The 26,482-nt window shown below is 44.1% G+C and overlaps 1 protein-coding gene across 10 annotated transcripts in view, besides 1 other annotated feature; it reads left to right on the plus strand.

Annotated features, from left to right (window-relative positions):
* Nucleotides 1-26,482, plus strand: part of DPP6 (dipeptidyl peptidase like 6) — a 1,146,153-nt gene that overhangs the window by 351,649 nt on the left and 768,022 nt on the right. The window lies entirely within an intron of this gene.
* Nucleotides 595-1,096: an enhancer, noted in NCBI's record as "H3K27ac hESC enhancer chr7:153797461-153797962 (GRCh37/hg19 assembly coordinates)". NCBI's record gives its function as "activates a minimal SCP1, AML or CMV promoter by ChIP-STARR-seq in primed H9 embryonic stem cells {active_cell/tissue: H9 hESC(primed)}" and the evidence as "EXISTENCE:reporter gene assay evidence [ECO:0000049][PMID:30033119]".

Here is a 26,482-nt window from a genome sequence, read left to right on the forward strand (position 1 = left end):
GAAGAGACTCCTAATCTGAGATGGATCTCTGGGATGAATGGTTGTTGGTGTTTGAGAAGCTATTGCAGTAATCGAGTCAAGAAATGGTGCTGGCGTGGCCCCGGGTGGCAGTGGTGGGTGAAAGCACTGAGAGTGTGTTCTGCGAGGAGACTTGCCAAGATTGACCCACAGACCACATGTGGGATATTAGGGAGCATAACAGTCAGGTTTCTGGCCCAGCCCCTGCAAGTATAGAGTGCCATTGTTTTTAGATTGGGAATGCTGAGAAAGGAACAGGTTTAGGGTTATGTTTGGTTTGTAAAGTTTAAGATGCCATTGGATACTGAAATAAATGTATGAATCTGGAGTTCACAGAAAAGGTTTCGATTAGATTATAATAGAGCAAAATCAACTTCCAGAGTAGAAGTGGGAGTTTTATTTTTTATTTATTTATTTTATTTTTTACCAGAACTGCTATTTTTACAAACTGAAAGTCCCTTAGAACATACACTGAAAAAAAAATCCCAGTTATTCTCTGAGTCCTTACATAGAATTGAAGACCACCTGCCTGTTTGTCTTTGCCTGTTTCCTTTTCTTCTGTTCTTAACTCCTCTCCAGCTCCTGAATAGCAATTTTGTTTCTCTCTGCCTCATGCAACAGACTTTTCTGGATGATTCGCCCCATCCCCCGTCATGCCAAGCCTCTGCCCCACTTCATTTCTCTTTCAGTGAGTGGAGCCTCCGCCGTCTCCCAGACCTATTGTTGCCTGGACCCTCTCAAGCCTACCCCTTCCTCTCCTCCCTCCCCTCCTTTACTCCGTCCCTTTCCATGGAGCCACACTCGGGGCAAGACCATCTGCTCTGGCCTTCCGAGGCTTCCGCACTGCTGGCAGATGCTCCCCACGTCCCCTAGAATGGTTTGTGATCTTTCTCTGTCTGGTCCCAACATGCCTTTCCAGCCTCCTCCCTCCCCACGCCAGCAGTTAACCCACGCATCCATCCAGGAGATTTCCCACACAGACTGCACATACCGCACAGGTGTGACCTGCTGGTGATGATCTGCTTTCTCTAAAATGGACTTTCCCTTCTGTCTGCACTTGCTGATCAACAAAAAGCCTGCTGGGCCTTTAAGACAGGCCTCAAACCACCTCTGCTGTGAAGCCTGCCCTTCCTCGTCAAGACCCCAAACGAGGCTCACCTCCCCGTGACCGTGCAGCGTGCTGCTGGTCCTGCCAACGGTGCCCCTGACGGAGCTGTGGTTGGTCCTGTGTTTACCTCTTCGGCCTTTCCACCCCTCCAGAGGTCCGCCTCTTGTCTCCAGGTCTTTGTATCTAACTGACCAGTTGGACACTCACCAACCTGAATGCCATGTGGTGTTCTGGAAAGCTTCCTCTGTAATTTCCAGTTCAGATCAGTTGTTCATCCTGTGCACTCCAGTCTCATCCTGTGCTTAATTCTACCACAACAAACAACGCAGTATTAAAATTGTCTGTGCAGCTTTCTCTGCAGTCTGAAAGACCTCGAAGAGAACAGACCTGCCTTATTTACTGTGCGAGTATCCAGCTAGAGCCTGGAGCTCAGTAAATATCTGTGATTTCACTCTTTCTCTTTCTCCTTCCATCCCTTCCCCTGTCCTCCTCTCCCTTTCTTCTTTCTTTCCTTCTTTCTTTCAGCACACATCAGTACAATTCCACACAATGGAAAGAGAAGAGTGAACAAGGCAGGACATTTAGAAGGGAAAGTGGAGGAGCAAAGTGAGGAAATCTTATCAGAAAAGGGGTGATCAGCAATGTTTAATGTTGTCACAGGCAAGAAATATGCAGGCAAAAAAATCCTTTACATTCTGTAACTAGGATGTTGCATGGAGATTTATATAAAGAGTGTTGGGCTGGGCACAGTGGCTCATGCCTGTAATCCCAGCCCTCTGGGAGGCTGAGGCGGGCGGATCACCTGAGGTCAGGAGTTGTAGACAAGCCTGGTCAACATGGTGAAACCCCATCTCTACCAAAAATACAAAAATTAGCTGGGCACTGTGGCGGGCGCATGTAATCCCAGCTTCTCGGGAGGCTGAGGTGAGAGAATCACTTGAACCTGGGAGGCAGAGGTTTCAGTGAGCCGAGATGGCGCCATTGCACTCCAGCCTGGGCAACAAGAGCAAAACTCCATACTCCATCTCAAAAAAAAAAAAAAAAAAAAAAAAGAATGTTAACACTTCTTGCTCCTACCGTCTTACTCATTTCTTCCTTCGTCACTCATTCATTCAGTAAACATTGGATTTCTATTTCCTGCCTCCTCTAAGATTTTCTAGGCACTTGGACCTCAAAGATGAAGCTATTCTCACACGCACAGATTGTCAGGACTTTGAGGCTTTATGGGTGATGGGCCTTTACACATTGTACTGTCTCCATAAAGCCCCTCCTTAGCTTCCATTTTTTTTTCTTTTGAGACAGAGTTCCACTCTTGTTGCCCAGGCTGGAGTGCAATGAATGGCACAGTCTCGGCTCACTGCAACCTTTGCCTCCTGGGTTCAAGCGATTCTCCCGCCTCAGCCTCCTGAGTAGCTGGGATTACAGGCACACACCAATACGCCCAGCTAATTTTTGTATTTTTGTAGACATGGGGTTTCACCATGTTGGCCAGGCTGGTCTCAGACTCCTGACCTCAGGTAATCCGCCCGCCTCAGCCTCCCAAAGTGCTGGGATTACAGGCATGAGCCACTGTGCCCAGCCAAGCCCCTTTTTAGTTTCTGTGGGGACCCCTCATTCAGCCACAGACTTGCCCCTTCAATGGCCACTTCATTCTTCCATGTGCGTTTTTCCTTGTTCTCAAGTTGTCTCCTCAGCTTGAGTGTGAAAAACATTTCATGCTTTTTAGTATCATCCTTAGGATAAGTCTCATATCTGTGCACTTTCATATTGATCAAAAAAATCACAAGAGGATAACTGAATGGACAACTATAAAACCTCCTGTTTCTCTATTTCATGTCAGACAACCCTAGCTCCCTTAGCTTTGCTTCCAGCTCCTTTTTCCTGATGCTTTAATCATTGCTGTTCCTCTCTTAATGTGCATCATGCACACTATAGTTCTCTAAAATCAGGCCACTTTAAGCCATCCACAGGATTTTATGGAATACTAATCAGTGTCATGTTCCACTCAACATGTGATCGGATTTTGAGAGCAGTGAACAGGGTGTCCTCTGAGGGCCTGGGGTAATACCCCCATTCTGAATCACAAAGGCCAGCCCCATGGGGTCAGAGGGTTGGCCTGGTTAGCCTTGTGGAGCCTGTGTTCTCCAAACAGACATTTAATTACTGTCCCCAATGAGTACCCTGATCACAATACTTATTGCTCCAATGGGGTCTGTGGGTGGGGATTGCAAAGGGGAAGGTTGCCCTGCTTAGCTCAAGGGGAGCATCTCCTGAGAAAGCTGATTCCGACAGAAGTGCAGTCAACTCAGCAAGCCTCTTCCTTCTGTCCTGTTCCTAAAACCATCTGCTCATTGCAGGAAGCGACTCCATTCCGTCAGCCATACTGATGGCATTAGGTTCTCCTAAAACATCTGGGTTTTCCTTGTGGGAGAAAATCCTGCAGTGAATTTAGATGTTGGTGGACCTCTAAGCAAGGGCCTCATTGAGTATAGGAGGGGAAATTATAAATGTCAAATTATAAGTGTGCAAATTATACAAGTGCACCCCTGCTTGGCCTTGCAGGGCACCACTGGCCAGCTCCCCCCTCTCCAATTTTTCTTCTGTTGCCGTGATGGTGAATGTTAGTTGTCAACTTGATTGGATTGAAGGATGCCTAGATAGCTGGTAATGTGTGATTTCTGGGTGTGTCGGTGAGGGTGCTGCCAGAGGAGACTGACGTTTGAGTCAGTGGACTGGGAGAGGAAGACCCATCCTCAGTGTGGGTGGGCACCATCCCATCGGCTGCCAGTGCAGGCAGAACAAAGCAGGCAGAAGAAGGTAAGATAAGCTTACTCGCTGGTTCTTCTGGCTTCTTGCTTTATCCTGTGCTGGATGCTTCTTTCAGCTTCTCCTGCCCTTGGACATCAGACTCCCGGTTCCTCCGCCTTTGGACTCTGGCACTTATGCTAGTGGTTTGCCGGGGGCTCTCCAGCCTCTGGCCACAGTCTGAAGGCTGCATTGTCGGCTTCCCTGGTTTTGAGGCTTTTGGACTTGGACTGAGCCACTACCGGCTTCTCTCTTCCCCAGCTTGCAGATGGCCTATGGTGGGACTTCACGTCGTGAGCATGTGAGACAATTCTCCCTAATAAGCTCCGTTTCATATACACATACATCCCACAGATCTGTCCCTCTGGAGATTCCTGACCAATACGGTTGCCCACCCTTCTTTGTCTCTTCTTTGCCACGTTCACTTCTACGTGGCCTCACGGAACCCACGTGGCCTTGCCTTTCTGGAATCGCAGTCTCCTCCATGTGGAGATGCGTCACCTGTAGCTGATGGATAATCACTTGGAAATGCAGCTGCCCCGGACGGGAAGGGGTTGTGCATTTCTCATATTGTTTTTGGCTAGACCTTGAGAAATTTTGCTTCCTGGACAACTTAGTCATATTTTATGAAGATCCTTTGTCAGTGGCTAGAAAATTGGACATGTATGATATATGGCTGGGGAGGACTAATGGGCTCTTCCTTCAACACTCTGTCAAAGTGGGGCCAGTGCCCATGGTGGAACGTGCTTTAGTAAGATGAGAGAAGGTGTTTTCATGATTAACAAGGCATGGCATTCGTATTTCAAAGATCACATGACATATCAAAACAGTCTGCTACCGTGTATTTATTTGGTGGCATGGACATGGGACATGTGGTATTTTCTCAGGGACCCTTCGGCCCTGGACCTGTGCTGTGCAGGCATCTGCCTGTACACACTGCAGCTGTTAACCTGTGCATAACAAACAGCCAATGTAAGATCAGATTTGAGGCTGGGAGTGGTGGCACACCTCTGTGTGTGTGCTTACATAACATACACTCAATGTAAGATCAGATTTGAGGCTGGGAGTGGTGGCACACCTCTATGTGTGTGCTTACGTAACAAACACTCAGTGTAAGATCAGGTTTGAGGCTGGGAGTCGTGGCATACCTCTGTGTGTGTGCCTACATAACAAACACTCAGTGTAAGATTAGGTTTGAGGCTGGGAGTGGTGGCACACCTCTGTGTGTGTGCTTACATAACAAACACTCAGTGTAAGATCAGGTTTGAGGCTGGGAGTGGTGGCACACGCCTGCGGTCCCAGCTACTCCAGAGGCTGAGGTGGGAGGACGCTTAAGCTCAGGAGGTCAAGGCTGCACTGAGCCATGATTTCACCACTGCACTCCAGCCTGGGTGATAGAGTGAGACTCTGTCTAAAAAACAAAACCAAAAAAACATAAGATCGAATTTGACTCGACCGTTTGTCCCTCTGACACGTAATCTAAGATGTCAGAAGTATTTGTGTCAAAGAAGGCAAGTGGGAGAGACCGGGCCTGAGGTGATGCTGTGTTCCTTCTTTGATGACATCATTAACGAGGAGAGGGATGGCCAAAAGAATCCAAAATGAAAAGTGTGCTGATAACAGAACCAATCACAGGCACAACTAGCCTGGGATTCCAGGCCTGCCGAGGCTGCTCACTGCGGAGCCTGTGTCTGATTCTGTGTGACCAGAGCCTTGGCTGCAAATAACGACCAGCCTTTCCTCATCACCCACCAGCAGGCACCCACCACAGCCCTGTTTGAGGTCCTTTGAACTCACAGTTTTAGAAAAGGTCAGTAGTCAGGTGATATGGTTTAGCTGTGTGCCCACCCAAATCTCATCTGAATTGTAGCTCCCATAATTCCCAAGTGTCCTGGGAGGGACACAGTGGGAGGTAATCGATTCATGAGGGTGGGTCTTTCCTGTGCTGTTCTCATGAGAATGAATAGGGCTTACAAGAGCTGATGGTTTATAAAGGGGAGTTCCCCTGCACTTGCTGTCTTTGTCTGCTGCCGTGGAAGACGTGCCTTTACTTCTCCTTTGCCTTCTGCCGTGATTGTGAGGCCTCCCCAGCCATGTGGAACTGTGAGTCCATTAAACCTCTTTCCTTTATAAATTACCCAGTCTTGGGTATGTCTTTATTAGCAGCATGAGAACAGACTGATGCATCAGGATAAGTCCACATTGCAGGCTCTTCAGGGCATGGCCCCGACTCGCTTTCCCATCTCACTTTTGGCCTGTCCCTCATGTGTACCCTGGGCCCAGCTGTGACCTATGGAACGGTATAACTCCCCTGAATACACTGTGCTCCCACAGATTATGTGCCTGCCCACTCCATCTCCACAGCCCCCATGGAGAGGAGAGAAAGGGGTGGCAGACTCTGCCTATGCGCCCTTGTTTCTTACTCAGAGATAAAAGTTCATTCAGAAAACATCTTGAGTTCCCCCAGGCTCCGTTACTTCCTTCTTTGCTCCCATAGCATTACCTGGTGAAAAGTGCTTCTGTTGCAAAACTTATGTTCATGTGTCTGCCTCACTTCTCCATGAGGGGCTCAGTTTCTTAAGAGGAGGAACAGAAAGGCTAGGTCTGGTCTCTGCATCTCCAACCGCTAGGCCAGGCGTTATATCCTTGGTGCGTGTTTATAGAATGTGATGGTAGACATGGAGTGTGGTGGGGTGAGCAGAGCAGATGTGATTGACATTCTGGTGAAAAGGCTGAGCAAACACAGGACCCACTGCTCTGTCCCTGCACTGGGCTGCGTGCTGGAGATTCAGTGGCCACTCATGCTGCTGCTGTGTTCTTGTGGAGGTAAGAGGCAGTGGGTAGAGGAGCAACAGGTGATATGTGAATGCTCCTGACTTTGTAGGAAATGGGAAAGGGGCTGATGGGTGGGGGTGCACGTGGGTGAAGGAGGTCTGGGAAGGTGTCTCTCCTGAGAAGGCAGCAGCTGGTCTGGGAATGAAGGGTGCGATGGAGCTCACTGACAACCCAGGCACAGGTGAGAGCAGGTGCACAGTCCCTGGAGAGAAAAGAGGCTGAAAGGCTGGAGGAAAAGTTGAGACCCATGTGGGGAGGGACGGATGAAGGTTCAGATCAGGGGCCTCCGGAAGTGAGGGAAGGAGCAACGCACTGACGCTGAGTGCTTTCAAGCAGGGGAGTGCAGAGAATGGATTTCACCTTGAAAAGTGAATGTGGACCATAACAAGTGTTGGCGAGGATATGGAGAGAAGGGAACCCTCACACAGTGTTAGAGGGAATGTGAGTTTTACAGCCATATGGAAAATAGTGTGGAGGTTCCTTAAAAAAAAAATCCAAAATAGAATTACTGGATGATCCAGCAATCCCACTTCTGGGTTTAGAACCAAAGGAACTGAAATCAGCTTGTCAAAGAGACATCTGCACTCCCATGCTCACTGCAGCACTGTTCTGGATGGCCAGGATATGGAAACATTCCCTGTGCTCATCCACAGATGAATGGATAAGAAACGTGTGGTGTATGTACACAATGGAATACTATGCAGCCTTAAAAAAGCAGGAGAGTCTGTCAATTGTGACAACATGAATGAACCTGGAGGACATTGTGTTAAATGAAATAAGCCAGGCACAGAAAGACAAATACCACATTATGTCACTTGTGTAGAATCTTAAAAAGTCAAAATTACAGAGGCAGAGACTAGCTCAGGGATGGTTGGGGGTGGGTTGGGGAGATGTTGGTACAAGGATATAAAATTTCATTGGACAGGAGGCATAAGTTTTTGAGATCAATTGCACAACATGGTGACTATATTTAATAATGTAAAGTATGTTTCAGAAATTGCTGAGAGTAGATTTTAAATATTTGTACCACACACCCACAAACATAAGTCTGTGAGGTGATATATATGTTAACTAGCTTGATATAAGCATTCCATATGTGTATATGTATATCAAAACATCATAATGGACCCCATGAATATATGTAATTATTATTTGTCAGTTTTAAACATTTTTTTTAAATGAACATGGAGGTTGGGGAACCTTACCAGGGTTCTTTTGGTCTCCGCCTTGCCTGGGGCCCAGAAGTGCTGGTGAGGGGTTGCTCCCTACTCTGGAGCTCTGGATGCTGATCAGAGACCCTCCATGCCTGGTGACATCTCAGACTCAGTGAACAGCCTCAGGGGCCCTTCACAAAACTGGGCTGTCAGGGCCACCTGGAGCTCAGAGTGGTAATTTGGTTCCATTTGAACTTCAATTTTCGTTGCTTTGAAATCTCATTCAGTTGAATTTAATAACAAATAAATAATTCATGGGGACTGGACAATGAAAGGAAAATTTAAAAATGTGTTCACCCAAATATATAAAGGGGCACCTTGTCCCTCAGCCCTGTTCTCTACCTTCTTTTCTCAGCTGGCTTCTGGGCAGATTCATGGCGCCAAAGGATGATGCGTTAACTCTCTCAGGGTGCTGAGGGTTCTCTCATCATGAGACTTCTGTGGGTTAGGGACTGGGCAAGAGGTGAGCAAGTATCCCACCTCTGGCAGGCCAGCCTCTCAGCCACCAATTTGCTAAGTGGCCCACCGGTCATCTCTGAGCCTTGTTTCCTTGCTTGTAAAATGCAGAAATCTTTAGTAAACCAATTGATGTAGGCAAATGTCATGAATGGATACACAGTCATCTCAGGGAATTTACATGGTGTTAAAGTATCACTCCAGGGATCATCTGCTGGTTGCAAGGGGAGAAATGTGACTTTATCCTGGAGAACACCGATGCTCTCCACCTTATCAATTCCTGCATCCCTAACACTGGGACAAGCAGATATCCTTCCATGCCCCATGCGGTGCCTAGCATCACCTGTGAGGTAATGCCACAAACTTGTGAGCTGAACTTAATCAAGCTCTTAGGTCTAACTTTCAGTGCGTAACAAACACAGGCTGCAGAGCATCCAGCTAATGCACACCAGGAGGAAACAGCCAGACAAATCCAGAAGGTGGAAACGTGGAGGCAACAACTCACCCATTCCTTCCAGCAAGCCAGCAATGTGTGGTGGGCTGGGGAGCCACTGGGGCGGACAGGTTCTAAGTTGAAATATACGTTACCACCAACCAAGGGCAATTCCTGGGCCTCGGCTAAATCCTTACCTATACAAACCAGCTATACCAGTCACTTTAGAGTAATTGGGGAAGTTATTACATGAGATTAGAAAATTGTATTCATTTTTTAAGTGTGAAAATGTTCTTTTTCCTTTTTAAAAAAGCTTCTGTTTTAGGTTCAGTGGCACATATGCAGGTTTGTTACATAGAGAAGCTTATGTCATGGGGGTTTGTTGAACAGACTCTTCTTAATTATACAGGAAAACGTCTAGAGCTTGTGGTCTCTCTTCTTTAGCGTTGCTTACTGAGATTTTTTAAAAAGATGCATCCTGAATGATTTCGAGGCATAATGTTTTGGTACCTGTATGCAATTGAAATAATTTTTAAAATAGATATGGAGTAAATATGAAAACTAACAATTTTCAAAATTTTAATGAGGAGCATATGAAAATTATACTCTAGTATGCTGTTACTTTTCTTTTCTTTTTTTCTTTTTTCTTTTTTCTTTTTTGAGACAGTCTTGCTCTGTTGCCCAGGCTGGACTGCTGTGGCACAATCTCAGTTCATTGCAACCTCTGCCTCCCAGGTTCAAGTGATTTTCCTGTCTCAGCCTCCTGAGTAGCTGGGATTATGGGGCACCCACCACCATGCCCAGCTAATTTTTGTATTTTTAGTAGAGATAGGGTTTCACCATGTTGGCCAGGCTGGTCTGGAACTCCTGACCTCAAGTGATCCACCCGCCTCAGCCTCCCAAAATGCTGGGATTACAGGCGTGAGCCACCGCGCCTGGCCGCTGTTAATTTTCTAATCTTTAAAAATAATAATAGTTTTTTTAAAAAGCTGCTCACAAATATTTTATTGATGATGTGTGCATTTTTTTTTCCTCTGGTAGGACATAATTCTCCCTGAGAAGGGGAAAGACAGTAAGAATTTTGTGAGTTGCATAATAGTCCATTGATTACCCTTTGTCCCCCAGTGGAGGGCACTAAACCCCTGAAGAAGCAGGCCCCTGTGTGGGCGTGTTATGATTGTAGAACAAGGAGAGGGGACCCTCCAGTACTCAGTGTCTTTAGTGGGTGGGGCGGGGGCTTCAAGGCAGTAGCCTCAGATACCTGCGGGGCCCATGCAGGGAACCCTAATTGGGGTGCAGGGTGGGGGAGCAACAGAATGCAAAATAGCTCTTAGTACCTTACCTAAATATTGGTTGCTAGATTTTTTCATTGACTGGAAGCTTTCATTTGGCTCTGGATAGAAGTGTGGGCAGTCACACAAGTCAAGGTAAGAGGGGTGGAAACTGGTTTTTGCTGGTGCTTCCTAACATTTGTCAACTGTGGCTTTCAGGCTACCAATGGGTGGGGAGTTTTGTGCGAGAAAATGGACCACATTTGCATCCTGGTGTTCTCCAAATGATGTTAAATGCAGAAACATTCAATGCAATGAGTTTGTTCAATTCCATCCAACTAAAAATTGTGTTTGTGCTATTAGTGCCTACCCTCTGATCAGTCTTGTACTAGGTAGGAAACATGGTGCTTACCCTTTACTAAGGAGTTGTGTTACATGAAACAGAAAACACTATGACTGAATCAAAAAGAAGCATCACTCTGCTTGGGTAGTCAGGGAAGAATCTTGATTTCCCCTGGAATCTGGTACTTACCTCGCGGTGAATATACAATAACAGCCAGAGTTTTAAAATAGACAAGAAGGACAGAAATCAGAGAGAAAAACACAGACACATCAGACCCCTTATCATAAGGTACAAACAATAGAGCAGAAGGGAGACCACAAACTTCCATTCTTTATGGGATGAGCGAGAAAGGGGATGGAGGCTTTGGCAATGTTGAATGGGTTTTCCACAGGAACAGCCAGCCCCAACTGATGTGTAGTGATTTCCTAGGAAGTTTGCAAACCTCATCCCACCAAGAGGAAATGGGTCGGGAGTTCTCCATCATCTGGAGGTCACAGAGCAGACAGACCATGGCCCAGGACAAGATCTAGAAGTTGTTATTTTATTCAAAGTCAGAAAACCTTCCAGGGTCTGGGGATCAGTGTCTGGATAGAAGAGAAAATACAAGAGAAAGCAAGAGGTTAATGTGGGCTGAAGGCTTAGAATGAGCAGTTTTAGGATAAAGGATAGTTAGGAAAGGATGGGGGATGGAGAGGAGGGTGCATGTAAGGCAGGACAAACCAAAGAGAAAGACCTGAATGTATCTGCTGTGTCTGTGGGACATAGGGAGGTTCTGTTCATTCTGAATGGGGGCTTCGAGCTCAAGCCTAAAAATCCATCCTTTCAAATAGGTACAGAAAGAAGGGCTTTGACAAGTACCATGGGCTGTGCTTGATTGAAAGGACAGACACATTCAGTTGTTGTTATTTGTGATTATTGTCAGCTCCATCATTGATGGCACTGTGCATTTTTTGAAGTAGGTCTCTCCCATCAAACTGCCAGGATTCCAGTGATCAGAGAGCAGGTCTTCAGTAGCACAGGCTGGATTGGGTGGTGCCCACTCCCGGCTTGACCACTTAGCTCTGTGGTGCCTTGGTATCCTCATCTGTAACGTGGGGATAATAATGGTGTCTGTCTCATAAGAATGTTTTGAGAAACAAATGAGAAAACCCAAGTCAAGCTCTTCTAGAAGTGCATGGCAGATAGTAAACAGTCAATCAACATTATCAGTCCTATCACCGGTGTGGGTACTGTTGAGATACCTGTGAGAGTAAATCATGATTTATGCCAATGGTTAATGGAAAATATTTATTTTAGTTATTTTCTTATCTGGGTAGTGCCAGATGGGATAATAAAAATGAAAACAGGCAGGGTTTCGTGTGTGTGTGTGTGTGTGTGTGTGTGTGTGTGTGTGTTGCTTTGTTTGCAAGCATGATTTAGTTGAAATTAGATGTCTCTTCTGATCTATAATCTCTTTGTCTTCAGACTGAAACCTGAAATCCCATCTGAATATGGCTGAAGCAAATCTGCACACAGTGTCTTGATGGGAGGATATGACTAACTCTTAGATTGGAATTGTGTTGGTGCGTAGGCAGGTTCTATTATTAGGGGTAATGTTACCACATTATTAAAATATTTTTAGGCATAAGACAGGATTCTTTCCTTCACAGATAAATGGTGAAACACACATATTCCTAATTTTTAAATTTTGATCAAAATTTTATTAAGGCCAAAATGGGCAGAGACTGGGTAACAGAAGCCATATTTTCCAATTTGCCCTCCTTTACTCTCCCAGATTCTCCTTGCATGTTGGCTGGAGTGGATCACGAAGGGTAGGAAGCTGAGAAAGGTGGAATAATTGGAATGTTCTGCAACTCTGAAGCCAAACAAACTTAGGTTTTGGATGACGTGGACAGTGGATATCATATCACCTGTTATGGTGAAACCATCACCAATACTTACTTTACAATTCCCATCACACACCCCAGTGACTTTCTGTGAAAGAGAGATCAGATATCTACTGTATTTAGATCAACTATTACATTATCAACAGTGGAGGAATAAGGAAATCTAGGATGCTGTTTAGTAGCAAGGAATGCATCAACAATAGATAAAAGGTGGCCAGGCATGGTGGCTCACACCTTTAATCCCAGTATTTTGGGAGGCTGAGGCGGGTGGATCATTTGAGGCCAGAAGTTCGAGACCAGCCTGGCCAACATGGTGAAACCCTGTCTCTACTAAAAATACAAATATTAGCCAGGCGTGGTGGCACATGCCTGTAACCCCAGCTCCTCAGGAGGCTGAGGGAGGAGACTTGCTTGAATCCAGGAGGCAGAGGTTGCAGTGAACTGAGATTATGCTGCTGCACTCCTGCTTGGGCAACAGAGTGAGACTCCATCTCAAAAAAAGAAAAAAAAAAGGAATCTCTCAGTAGGTACTAAATAAAACAGGGAAAAAAACATAACTAAACATAACTACAAACTTTCTTTTCTTTCTTTTTTTTGTGATAAGAACACTTAACATGAGATCTACCCTCTCCATAAATGTTTAAGTCTTGTTAACTGAAAGCACAATAGGATACAGCAAATATCTAGAACTTATTTCATTTTGCACAACTGAAACTTTGTACCCATGGAACGCCTCCCATTTCCCCTTCTCCCAAGCCCCTGGCAAGCACCTCTCTACTCTCTGTACAAGTCTGCCTGCTTTAGGAAGTGGAACCATGTAGGGTTTATCCTTCTGTGGTTGGTTCATTTCACTTACCATAACATCCTGTAGGTTCAGTCATGTTTTTGCATATGGCAGGATTTTCTGCTGTATTAAGGCTAAATAATACTTGATGGTATATATGTGCCACATTTTCTTTATCCATTCGTCTGTCAATGAGCATTTAGATGGTTTCCACATTTGGGCTATTATGAATAATGCTGCAATGAACATGGAAGTGCAGATAGTTCTTTGAGGTCCTGATTTTAATTATTTTGGATACGTACCTGGAAATGAGATTGTTGGATTATATGGTGGTTCTATTTTTAGTGTTTTCAGGAAGCCTCATACTGTATTCCAAAGTGGCTATACCATTTTGCATTCCCCCCAACAATGTACAAGGATTCTGATTTCTACACATCCTTGTCAACATTTGTTTTCCTACATATATATATATATATATACACACACACACACACACATACACACAACACACACACCTACATACATATAGATATATAATAGCAACCCTCATAGGTGTGAGGTGATACCTCTTTGTGGTTTTGATTTCATTTCCCTGATGGTTAATGATGTTGAACATCTTTTTATGTGCCTGTTGGCCATTTGCATGTTTTAGTTGAAGAAATGCCTTTTCAAGATTTTTGCTTTTGTTTCTTGTGCTTTTGGTGTCATATCCAAGAAGTCATTGCCTGGGCCAATGTCATGAAGCATTTCCCCCATGCCTTCTTTTGGGAGTTTTACAATGTCAGGTATTATGTTTAAGTCTTTAATACATTTTGAGTCGTTTTTTATGTACAGCATAAGATAAGAGTTCAGTTCTCTTGTATGGATATCCAGTTTTCCCAGCACCATTTTTGGAAGAGACTGTTATTTTCCCATCATGTATTATTGGCACTAACTATAATGGTGAAAAGTTAAACGCTTTTCCTTTAAGATCAGGAACAAGACAAGGACGCCCACAGTCACTGCTTCTATTCAGCATAGTAGTGGAAGTCCTTGCCAGGGCAATTAGGCAAGAGAAAGAAACTAAAGGCATCTAAATGAGAAAAAGATAAAATTATTTCTATTTGCGGATGACATGATCTTATGTGTAGACAACCCAAACTTTCTTATCTTCACAGAATATTTTGCAAGAGTTGAGCTCCTAGAAAATGAGCTTAGATCATTTCTCCCCTCTGGCCAGTAACAAGATGCTCCTACACTGAGCTTCATTTAGCACAGCCCTGGACACACCACCAGGCACTCAGCAAACATCAGACAATTTCCAGTTCAATGGAAAATTCTCAGTTATCCATGGCAGAATCATGGCCCTGTCATGCACTGGCTGAGTTTGCTTGAGGAAGCTGCTTAAGCTTTCTGACTCTTGGTTTTGTTATCTGCAAAAGGGGAATAGCAGTGTCTATACCACAGGGATAATATGAAGGCTAAATGAGATCCTGTAAAGCAATCTTTCCAAGTCCTGAGCTTGACACAATAATAAAAACTAACCTTTATTTAATTATTGAGGGTGGAGGAAGGAGGATAAAGAACAGAACCAAAGAACAGAAGTTATTTCCCAGTGAACTTAAACAATTCATGAGTTTTCTCATCTTAAGCAGGGAGGCCTTAACTGCATTGTCTCATGCCTTTAACCAGTGAGAGTCAGAGAGAGCTAAGGCACATCCAACTCCGTTGCTCAACTCCCAGGCACCCAGCAACAGGTATAGAGCATTGGGAGCTGCACTCTCCATACTGATGTTATAATTAATCTTCCACCTCAGTCAACCGATCATAGAGTTCCACTTTTGGAAGTGTTCCAACCTGCACCCAGGAGGCTTCTGCAGTCTTTTTTGCTGCCAGAATGTCCTCCCTGATTTACACCTGACTTCGGCAACATCTGAGCATTCATATCTGTGCTACATGCTGGCTGTAGCCATGGGTCTCATTCTAAAACATCCTTGCCTTCAAATACAGGCATGAGGCAGGAGTGGAGGAAGGAGAGGTAAGAAACTATTCATCGGCCGCCTCATGGGCATGCTGACGGCAAGAGTTATGAGGTGTAAACCTGGGTTCACATCTTGTTTTCTTCTCCAGGTGAGGGTACTTCATAGAGCTCAGAAGAAACTCAAGGACCAGCTCTCTCGGGCTGCCCCTGTAATATGGCCCACTGAGGGCAGGTTCCTGGCTGCCCTTGGAACAGTGCTGCAGTCATCAGGTGGTGTGAAAGACAAATGCCTTTGTGCCCTCAAAGGCAACCAGTATATATGGGAGGTGCTGTCCCCCCTTCTGCCACTCATCAGCTCATGGTAAACAGAGGCCACTTAGGCACCACTCAAGGCATTGACCAGTCTGAGTCCTAATTATAGGGTCCTACTTATAGCCATTATGAACCTCAAAGCCAAACAAGATGAATTTTGTCAAAGGACTCCTCCTGGCTTTAGTTGAACAGAATCATCAGACTAGGAAGCCATTAGTGACCTTCGTGAGTTTCCAGATCTTCATTCTCATGGCTCTTATCAGAGATTTGCTCTGAGGTGATAGTGTTATAGGGCCCTGATGCAAAAAGCCCAGTGCAGATTGGCTTACCTGCTGCTGCATCTTGATTGTCCATGGGTGGGGTCTACTCCTGAGGTCTTGGGATTGAAAAAGTTCACACGGACTGTAAATCCTGCCATTGCTACTGATGACACTTGTACTTGTTGCGGTGTGTCCATTGTAGTGGGAAGAGCTCTGCTCTTAGAGTGTTATACAGCCTATAGGGTTTGGATTCTTCACATTTGGTTGGTTGACTTTGAGTCTCAGCACTTTCAATTGTAAGGTGGGGACAGTACAAACTTACAGAAGTTATTGTGAATACACAACCATCCAAGTAATTACACCTGCAGAGCTGACTAGTTTACTTTCTTGCTTGCTGTCTGGTAAAACTCTTGCCAATCATAGACAAACGATCAATGCATAAGGTAACCTCATTTGAGAGTTCAAGTTCTGAACAGAAGAAAAGGATCTCATTCCTGTTATGAACAGCTTAGTTATAAAGTCAAATGTAAAATCAAATATGTGTTTCTGTGGCAAATGGTTAAATTCTTACCTTTTACAAAACATTCAGTAGTCACAAGGTCTTTACACACCCACTGCTTATCCATCATATTTATATATGGTGTGCCTGTTAGGTAAGACATACACACTTTGGTTAGTTACTTGAATAGATCATAAAATTAAGTCTAGGACTATGTTTTCTGCTTTATTTAAATTTTCTCATCCAAGGAAAAATTTCATAAAGAGTGGTTAAATGAATGAATGAATGGACATTTACTGTCTTGAATAAAACCTTTTTATATAACTTAGCTTGTTTTGCAAAAGAATAAAACACTGGGTTCAAACTCTTTATTTTTCATTGATCTTTAGAAATCAGGGTCCCTCTTTTGAATACACCCCTTGCTCAAGGAAAGGAACCATTTATGTTCTGGCCTTGATTACTGCACAATGGCTTTTACTACATTTGATTTGCAGCAGTTCATTTGTGATTAAATTTTCTAATTCTCCCAGAAAGTCATTGAACAAGCAAACAGTTTACTTTCCCCAATAAAACAAAACCTAAAGTATTTGGTCTTTAATAAATGTTCAAAAATTATTTTCTCAGTGTGTGTTCGAGATATAAATATCCCTTCATCTCAACCGTCTTTTAAATATTTGACCAATCTACCTTTACAGAGTAGTTGTTTCTCCTTATGTCATTTCTGATCTATCTTTCTTGAATTTTTCTTTGCTTAGTTTTTAATCAAGCCAAATGTTTGTTTAATCAGATACCTCAATTAGTCAAGACCTGTCTCTTTTATCAGAAGGTGAATTTAGAGAACAATTCTAAAACATAGGGTAATACAATTTTTTTAAAAGAAAAATAACCAAATTCTAAGCTCAGCTTGGTCCCAGGGCAAATTCACTCCTCATTCTTAATTCTTCTTCTCCATTTCTGGTCACGGGAGGGGCACCCCCAAAATGCTGACCCTAGGACTCCCCAAGATCCTCCAGCATCCAAAAGGCCTCTCTTCTCCAGTCTTTACTTTCTATGGGAACAGGTTGAAACCCCTGGGAATGAATACATTCTCAACTAAAAATACAAATTAAAAGAATTTCTTGCTTAGACTATCAGAAACTTGATCTAGTGCACATATTTCCCAAGCATTTCATTTACTAGATCTGATTAAGACACTCTGTTATTGTATCATTTAAATTTTTAAATTTTATTATTTAAATTTTAAATACAAGTTTTAAAGGATGGTTACAAATTAGTAACTCAAAATAATTGAGTGGAGAGATCAAGGTACAAGACACTCTGCCTTTACCTTCAAAGTCTGAGCAAATATGATTTTATATCGTTTTAATCAGAGATTCTTTTAAAGACCAAGTTACTGCAGTCCTGTCTTGTTCTTCTCCTATTTTATACTGATGTGCTCAGTACCTTGGTGTCTTTGTCTGTCTTTTAGGGGGAAGGGAACCCACGTTTTGGACTAGAGTAGCACAGATGCCATTCTTACCTCACTGTAGGTTTCTTTAAAGAATGTTTAGTCCTGACAATGCGATGCAGATTTCTTTCTCTCCCCACTCTATCTTCTCTTGCAGAGCTTTATCCCTTTTTCATTGTTCAGCATGACTGGGAACCTGCCAGCTCGCCACAATGAAACATAATGTTTTTGCAAAGTGTGTGTCAAATGTCGTGAGCTTAGAAGAGATTCATCGTAGAGACTGCTGCTTAATGAGTGTAAATTAACTGATCATTTGCTAAATCTGATGTGCCCAGTGGTGTGGGTGGGAGAATGCTGGATAGGATGTAGGAGATGCAGGTGAGCAGACGGGTAGCAGAGACACATACCGTGTTTCTGAGCGAGGACTGTAGCATGGCCAGAAGGCTGTTCTGATGTAGAGAGGGATTTTCCGCTCACGGTAGGACCCAGTACCATGAGACTGAGGACTGAAACACAAAGTTAACACAGATCTCCCGAACAGTCTGCTTTAGGGCTGGAGCCTGCTGGGATCAGTCCTCTTGAGAAGAACTACAATCTGGTTGAGATTGAACTTGCCAAAGACAATGAGACTAAACAAGAGATGCCTGCTGGTAAACATCAGGGGTGTTGTGTGGAAGCTGAGGGAGGAAGAAAACACAAAAGCTGTGCATGATGATAAGGCTAGTGGGCCTAGTGTTACCAGTACCACAGATCTACAGCTCCTCCTAGAGGCAGGGCACATTCAGAATAAGCAACAGGGAGCTGCATGTCATGTAGTCAAGCAACTGTATATTTCTTCTTCATTGATTTCTGGGACATACATATGAAATATCTTCAGCTTCATATCTGAGATGGCAGGAACATGACAACATATTAGCTTTTAGGTAGACACCCGTAGGTCTTAGGATGTGGTGGAAAATTGGGTGTCATTTTTTCCAGATAATCACTGGCATTTTTATAAAACATGAAGCCCTTCCTAAAGTCTGTGCTTCCCAGATAGTAGTGAGGAGAAATAGGCTTGTGGAGACCATAAGGGTTTATTTTGGAGTGGGTCTTGTGAATTTGACAGTTTAATAGTCACGTGGACGCACACTGTTGTTTGCAGGAGGGGCCATGAACCCCTGCCCTGAATGAAAGGGAAATACTTATGTCCGTGGTAACCAGGGCCAGTGGCAGCCAGGAAGCCAAGACCTGGCCTCCGCTGCCACTGCTCATACAAACCAAACGTGTACATCACGTATGGGATATAGGAGAAGCACATCTGAAGGGCTATGGCAGAAGTGGAAAGAAGGCAAAACTCTTCCACACAGGCAACCCGTGCTTTCCAGACAAATCTCACAACATCAAACTAGAAGTATTCATGCCACCCCCTACCCCTGCCAACTAGAACTGGCTGTCTGTGTCAGGTCGTCATCTTATCTTAGAACACATCCATTGATACATACACTGTTTCTTCTTCCCTATTACCTCTGATTCTGCTTCTCTAAAATAAAAGCTGACCGACTGGTTGGAATAATAATACATATACCACCTGGCATTTTACAGTTTTACATCATCTCAGGTGATACAACCAGGCTATGATGCAGTCATGTCACCATACTCTTTACCAGATGAGATGCAAACTCAGAAATATTAGGAAATGTAGCTGTGATGGATTGGGCTATAATCAACTTGTGATGTGGGAGTTTCTCAGAATCTCTTTCCCTATATACATATGGTTCCGAGCTAGAGCTGGCCACAGTGAAGCCATGAGACTTGGGAGGTGAATGAAGGAGGGGCCATTATGCTCTGGAGGTTTTCATCGTGTAACTGAACACAGGTCCGGATGCTCACCGCCTGCAGAATCCAGTTAACAAGAATGAGTTCTGGTAGAAAGAAAGTGACTTTATTCACTCAAACTAGTAAAGAACAAGTGGCCGGGTTCCCATCCAAAGCAACCACTTCAATTTGGCAGAGAGGAAGACAGGGGTTTAAAAAAGGAAATCTTGACGTGAAAAGCTTGCAAGAATTGTGCTGAGTACAACGTCTGTGTACCTTGTTCTGGTGGCTATCTTGGGTCCCAGTTTACCTGGATCTCGGGCTGGTGTCATCTCAACAATGGTGAGGCTGTTGACTCGCCACCTTGAAGTCATCTCTGGAACTTTGCAGGTGGGTCTCCAGACTTGGTTCATGTGTCTCAAGATTACCCCCAGGAGCTTCTAAAAAGGGACATAATTAGATGCTAGCATACAGGTAGATGAATGTGAAGGGAGTATAGATGGTGAGAAAGGGAGGGATGTGGAGTTCATTTTAAGACAAAGAGGGAAAGGCTTCTGCAATTTGCTTCAAGGTTATATCTTGAAACGCACGAGAAATAAGTAAAAAGTTTAAAATGCATTTTGCAGTTAAACTGCCCAGTTACAATTGGTCAGAAGTGGTGAGAGACACAGTGGAGCTGACACAGGGTGCAAGTTTGTCTTCACTCTTCCTTACCCCTGTCTTTATTTCCCGATTTCCAGCCCTGCTGACTTGCAGTGAGTCCAGGGCCACCATGCGATGCTGTACCCCACTCGACAGACCTTTACTTCCATAGCACCTCACATCATTCCTGTAAAAGGTTGTTACTCTATAATATTCCAAATATTGAGAGTTTCACTCTCAAGTTTGAACTCTGACTGACACATTACCTGTGGTCTCCAGGTGGGAGGTGATGTGTTTTTTACACTTTATAATTTTTTTTTATTTTTATCACTCACTATACTTGACTGTGTTATGATTTCTATATTCGTCATTCTTCCTGCATCATTTTCTCTCTTCTTTTTTTTTTTTTCTGAGACAGAGTCTCGCTCTGTAGCCCAGGCTGGAGTGCAGTGGTGTGATCTCAGCTCACTGCAAGCTCCCCCTCATGGGTTCACGCCATTCTCCTGCCTCAGCCTCCTGAGTAGCTGGGAATACAGGTGTCCGCCACCATGCCCAGCTAATTTTTTTTATTTTTAGTAGAGACGGGGTTTCACCATGTTAGCCAGGATGGTCTTGATCTCTTGACCTCGTGATCCGCCCGCCTCAGCCTCCCAAAGTGCTGGGATAACAGGCTTGAGCCACCGCGCCCAGCCATCTATGTTCATTTCAAAGGGGTCTTCCTTAATGATAGTGCCCTTGAACCAAAAATTAAAGAGTTGATTAAAGTAGTAGAAAATGGTCATCTATACAAGTTTCATGATTTATAAGAACTATGGAAATTGCTCCTTAGAAAATAGCTTTCTAAACATGAAAATACAGTTGATTAGAAACAGTACACATGAGGAACTCTGGTTTCATGCAAAGTTGAAGGAAATTCTTGTGAAATTAAAAATGCACCCAGAACAGTTGATGAAGTCTAGTCCAATGAAAGGGTTTTCAACTGTTTGATTTCCATCTTGTCAAAGAATCAACTTTTGGTTTTGGTGAATGAAGTGGTTTGGCTGTTTCCCCACCCAGATCTCACTTTGAATTGTAATAATCCCCACAGGTCAAGGGCGGGACCAGGTGGAGACAATTGAATCCTGGGGCTGGTTTCCCCCATGCTGTTCTTGTGGCAATGAGTTCTCAGGAGATCTGATGGTTTTCTAAGGGGCTTTCCCCTTTGCTCGACTCTCATGCCCTCTCTTGCTGCTCTGTGAAGGGGCGCCTTCCTCCATAACTGTAAGTTTCCTGAGTCCCTCCCAGCCATGTGGAACTGTGAGTCTGTTAAACCCGTTTTCTTTATAAATTAACCAGTCTCAGGTATTTCTTCATAGCAGCATGAGAACGGACTAATCCGGTAATATTCTCCACTGTTTTTCTATTCTCTACGTTATTTACTTCTGCTCTATTATTTATTGTTTCCTTCCCTCTGCTTGCTTTGGGTTTAGCTTGCTCTTCTTTTGCTAGTTTCGTAAGGCAGAGTGTAGGTTGTGGATTCGAGATCTTTCTTCCTTCTTAATATAAATGTTTACGGCTATAATTTTCCTTCCAATTACTGTTTTTATTGCATTCCCTAAGTTCTGGTATGTTGTGTGGTATTTTTGTTTTTATTCAGCTCAAAGTATTTTTGTGTTTCCCTTGTGGTTTCCTCCTTAATACTTTGGTAATTTATCAGGGTGTTTAATTTCCAAATATTCTTGTGTATTTTCCAGTTTTCCATCTGTTACTGATTTCTAAATTCATTCTGTTGTGATCAGAAAAAGACACTTTGTGTGAGTTGATTTCAACCTTTTAAAAATTATGAAGACTTGTTTTGTGACCTCACATACAGTCCATTTTAGAGAATGTTTCAGGTGCACTGGGGGGACATGTGTATTCTGCTGGGCTTGGCAGAGTCTAATAATCCCTAATATACCTCGCTTCTAATGTAGGTGTTCCCACCAGAGCATGCCAGTGTCATGTCCACAATAACAAACAAAAATTCTTTTTTTTCTTTTTCTAAAGCCATATTGTAGATTCCCAGTTCAACTATAATATATATTATTTTAGCTATCTATTTAAAGTGTCACATCATCCTAGGGACCTTTCAACGGACTGACTACATTTCTCACAATTATAGTAATTACTGAAAATAAACACATGAGACTATTCTCTTCAACTAAAATATCATCTTATTTTACATTTAGTACAATTGAGAAATTTGCATGTAAAGCTAAGGAAGGACACAGCTTTAGAAACAATGGACTCATTTCTCTCCAGACCTATGTGAAAGTTGGTTTGACAGTAATTACCTTATGGGAGCCCAAAGTTATGAAATAAGGATGAGGAATGATTGTTCCCATCACAGACGGATCACCACATCATCCCCTGTGCATTTGCATGTTGTGTACTGATCAGAGGTGGCGTGGTGTGGAGGGGCGGCAGTGGTGACGTGGAAATGTAAAGAATTTCGTGTACTGAGGATCCAGTTAAAAATCACACTGGAAAGAGAACCACATATAGTCAAGGAAAGAAGAAGTGGCCTACAAACCTGTGATATGATCTTGAAATGACTTATTTTAACAAGCATACCTCCCATCTATTATATAAAATAAACCGAAGTTACTAGAAAGAGATGGGGGTTAAATTCCCTATCACTTACTAGCTGAGTGACTTTGAGCCTGTTTCCTAGTCTCTGTGAGCTTGTGTTTCTTCATGTGGGTAATAGAAGTCATAATAATACTCACTTTAGCAATTTGCTGTAATAATTGGCAACAATATCTTGAAGCACAGATTATAATGTCCAGTATGTAATAGCCCTCTTGTATGTCGCTGTATTCTTTCTACTGTCCATAGTTCTTTAGGTTATTAGACTGACTTATGAACTTTGAGCGCTGGTCATCAGACCTACTTCACATGGAGCCTCGAGACCCCTCCCTCGAATTATCAGACCCTTCCCCCTCTGGCCATCATCCTCCTCCCTCTGATCATCACTGTGCGCCCTTTGACCATCACCCTCTTCCCTCTGGCATCAGACTCTCCTCCCTCTGCCCATCCTCCTCCTCCCTCTGACCATCAGGCCCGCCTTACTTCCTCATACCAGCAGCCGTGGAGTGGATCTTCAACAAGCAGCCAACAGCAGCCAGGGACAGATCCTCGGGCACTGTTTTTCTGTCCGAAAAATCAGAATCGTATCAAAGGGTCGGACACCTGGACTGGCAAGACACATTGGGGTTATTTATAACAGGGGAAAATGAGGTCTCCAGGGAAACAAACCATAATAAAGAATATGAACTCCCGCAGACCGAATTGCCTTCAACGATCCTCAAAGACTTTTGTGTTTGACCAATATCAATTAATTACATCAGTAAATAACTGCCTGAGCCTTGTACTTCTGTCCTCCCAAGATCCAGAATGACTTCTGCTTTCAAAATGAATTTCAGGGCTTTCTTTGAAGCAGTCTTGTAAAGTTGTTATATTTAGTTTAAATTCAATTAAAGCTCAATCTGAAAGCTCTTTCTGAAGCATTTGTTCCACATTTACATGAAGGTATTTGCTCTTAAAATTGTTAGGGGTATAGCTCATTTCTAGTAATAATAAGTGGTATTTCATAAACCAGGATACATGATCATTTACTTCCTGATAGCTTGCTTCTCCCAGATCTAATTCTATTCTTCCTTGAGGGCTGTTGGTGCCAGTGCCAGGGCTGCAAACATCAGGGTTAGACTGGAGAGTGACCCGTGTGCTCCTTCACCCCTGGGTGGGGCCTCTGTGCTTATCAGTAGGCTAGCACCAGGTGCAGGAGACAGATGTGCCGCCTGCTCACAGGGCTTACCTGGGACAAATGTGCCGCTCGCTCACGGGGCTTACCTGGGGACAGTTGTGCTGCCCGCTCGTGGGGCTTACCTGGGGACACTCACTATGATTACCTGGGACAAATGTGCCGCTCGCTCACGGGGCTTACCTGGGGACAGTTGTGCTGCCCGCTCGTGGGGCTTACCTGGGGACACTCACTATGATTACCTGGGACAGATGTGCCACCCGCTCACTATGATTACATGGGACAGACATGCTGCCCATGCCGGGGCTTACCTGGGACAGACGTGCCACCCACTCACTATGATTACCTGGGACAGACATGCTGCCCACTCACTATGATTCCATGGGGACAGACATGCCGCCCACGCACGGGGCTTACCTGGGATAGATGTGCCACCCACTCACTATGATTACCTGGGGACAGATGTGCTGTCTGCTCACAGGGCTTACCTGGGAATGAAGTTCCACTCCTCCACTTGCTTAGTTCTTGTTTATTTGTCTCTCCCACCATTTCAAGTCTTTGCTATCATCATGAAGAAATATGCAGGGTGCTGGCTGTGCAGTGATGAGCTGGGAGAAAATGATCTGTGACAGAGCTGGTAGTTAAGGAAGAATCCCTTGGCTGAAGCAGAGTGTAAGGGATGAGAAGCCAAATGGGTGGAGAGCGGGAGCAGGGGAGGAGGGTGAGAGCATGAGAGGGACACTGCATCTCCAGAGGCTGGAGAGGGGCAGGGGTGCAGCTTGTCATGGGACATGTAAGAGGGCCAGGGACTGATGCAGAGAGGGACAGGAAGCAGCCTGCACCGGCACTGTGGGAGCAGGCAGATGGGAACGTGGACAGGGAGTTAGTGTTTTCTCCTAAATGCCATGGAAGACATTGATGTATTTTCAACAGTGCAGATAGAAAGCAGTAAATGGTTTCAAAAATATCCCAAACAATACAATATATAGAATTTCCTGATGGATTTGACTTGCAAACAGAGTGGAAGAAAGAAGTATGATGGCATCTATGCTTTGTGCTTTTTGAGCAATTGGTTGAATATGGACACCATTTTCTGTCACTGAGAAGACTCAGGGAAGGGCGGGAGGATGGGGGTAAGTGTGCAGGGCCGGTGAAACTGGGAGATCCGTGAGATGCCCAAGTGGCAACGTCAGCTCTGAGGAAATGACACTCAGAGACATGGCCTGGACTCGAAATAAAATGTGGGAGTAGTTAGCACACAGATTATGTTCCGAACCTGGAAATGAATGACCACACCTAGGAAGAAAAAGCAGGAAAAGAGAGGAGAGGGCCCTTAGAGATCCCAACAGAGGGGGCTGAGGTGTGTGTGTGTGGTGAGTTGGAGGACAGCCAGAAGAAAAGATGACGTTCCAACAGCTGAGATGCAGTCAGGGCGCAGCCCATTGGTATGCAGCGTGGAGGTCTTTGGAGACATCACTAGGAACCGTTTACTAAAATGTCACTAGGAGCAGTGCCTGTAGAAACCAGATCAGGGCACACGAAAGGGTAAATGGGAGACGAGGGAGACATGACACTCTGCTGTGTGGACTCAGAAACCTTTCTGCAAAGAGAAGCCAGGAACACAGCAGGATGCAAACTAAGACGTGAAAACTCATTCTTCGAAGTCCTTTCAGAGTCCTACCTGCTTCTGTTTATATACCGCCTACATTTCTGAAAATTCTAGTGTAAAACAAACATGTATATATTAAATTACGTTCCTTTTACTTTTGTTAAATAAAAAGTAGTCGCATTAGAGAAGAGCAAAGCTAAGAAACATAATGAAATGATGTGTAAGGATCCTAACATGACCACTAAAGAGCAATGCACCTGAGTGTGAACGCATCAAACGCTTCCAGGCCTGGCAGTCAATCCATGTGCCATGGCCTCTTACAAGGAAGTCATCGTTCTAACACCCCATCGGTAGGGCACAGGCTTTGGTTATTTTATCAGTGCACAAAAATGAATTCACACTGTTACTGGCTTTCTTCTGCTGGTGCACATTAGGTGTGATGGCTCCTTGGGCTTACGGATGACCCCTGTGGCTAGAGGCGAGGGTGAAGATAATGGGTTCACATTGCACAGATTAAAGCAGAGACTCTATTGTGTTCAGAAGAACCTAGAGTTAATGGGCCACAAACAGATCATCTTCTGGCCTCCCTAGCAGAGCCCTCGGTTGCCTCCTGACACAGTCCATTTCCACTTTGACACAAGTGTTTGCCAGCTTTGTGGTACCTGATTATTAGGGTCCTCTTAGTTCTGTGATTGCTCCAGGAATTCGGTAAAAATTGTCATCTGGAAGAACCAAATTGCAGTTCTTAACTGGGTAGAATTCAGGCTCTTCAATTCTTGATTCCATTCATTACGTGCTCACTGTAAGAAGTGGTACCTCCTTGGGATATTGAATCAGAAAGGTATTAGAGAAAGGGCTATTCATGGTGTAGGGATCTTTGGACTTGAAGGTGAAATTTCAAACATCTTCAATATTCATTTTGGTTCTGGGAGAGGTAGGAAAACTGTCTAGAAATGGTCCATTTATAATCATATATGTGAATAGAACTTAGCATTTTGGTTGGTTGGTTGGTTAAATGTGTG

The sequence above is a fragment of the Homo sapiens genome, chromosome 7 (genome assembly GCF_000001405.40).
Source record: "Homo sapiens chromosome 7, GRCh38.p14 Primary Assembly".
NCBI lineage: Eukaryota > Metazoa > Chordata > Mammalia > Primates > Hominidae > Homo > Homo sapiens.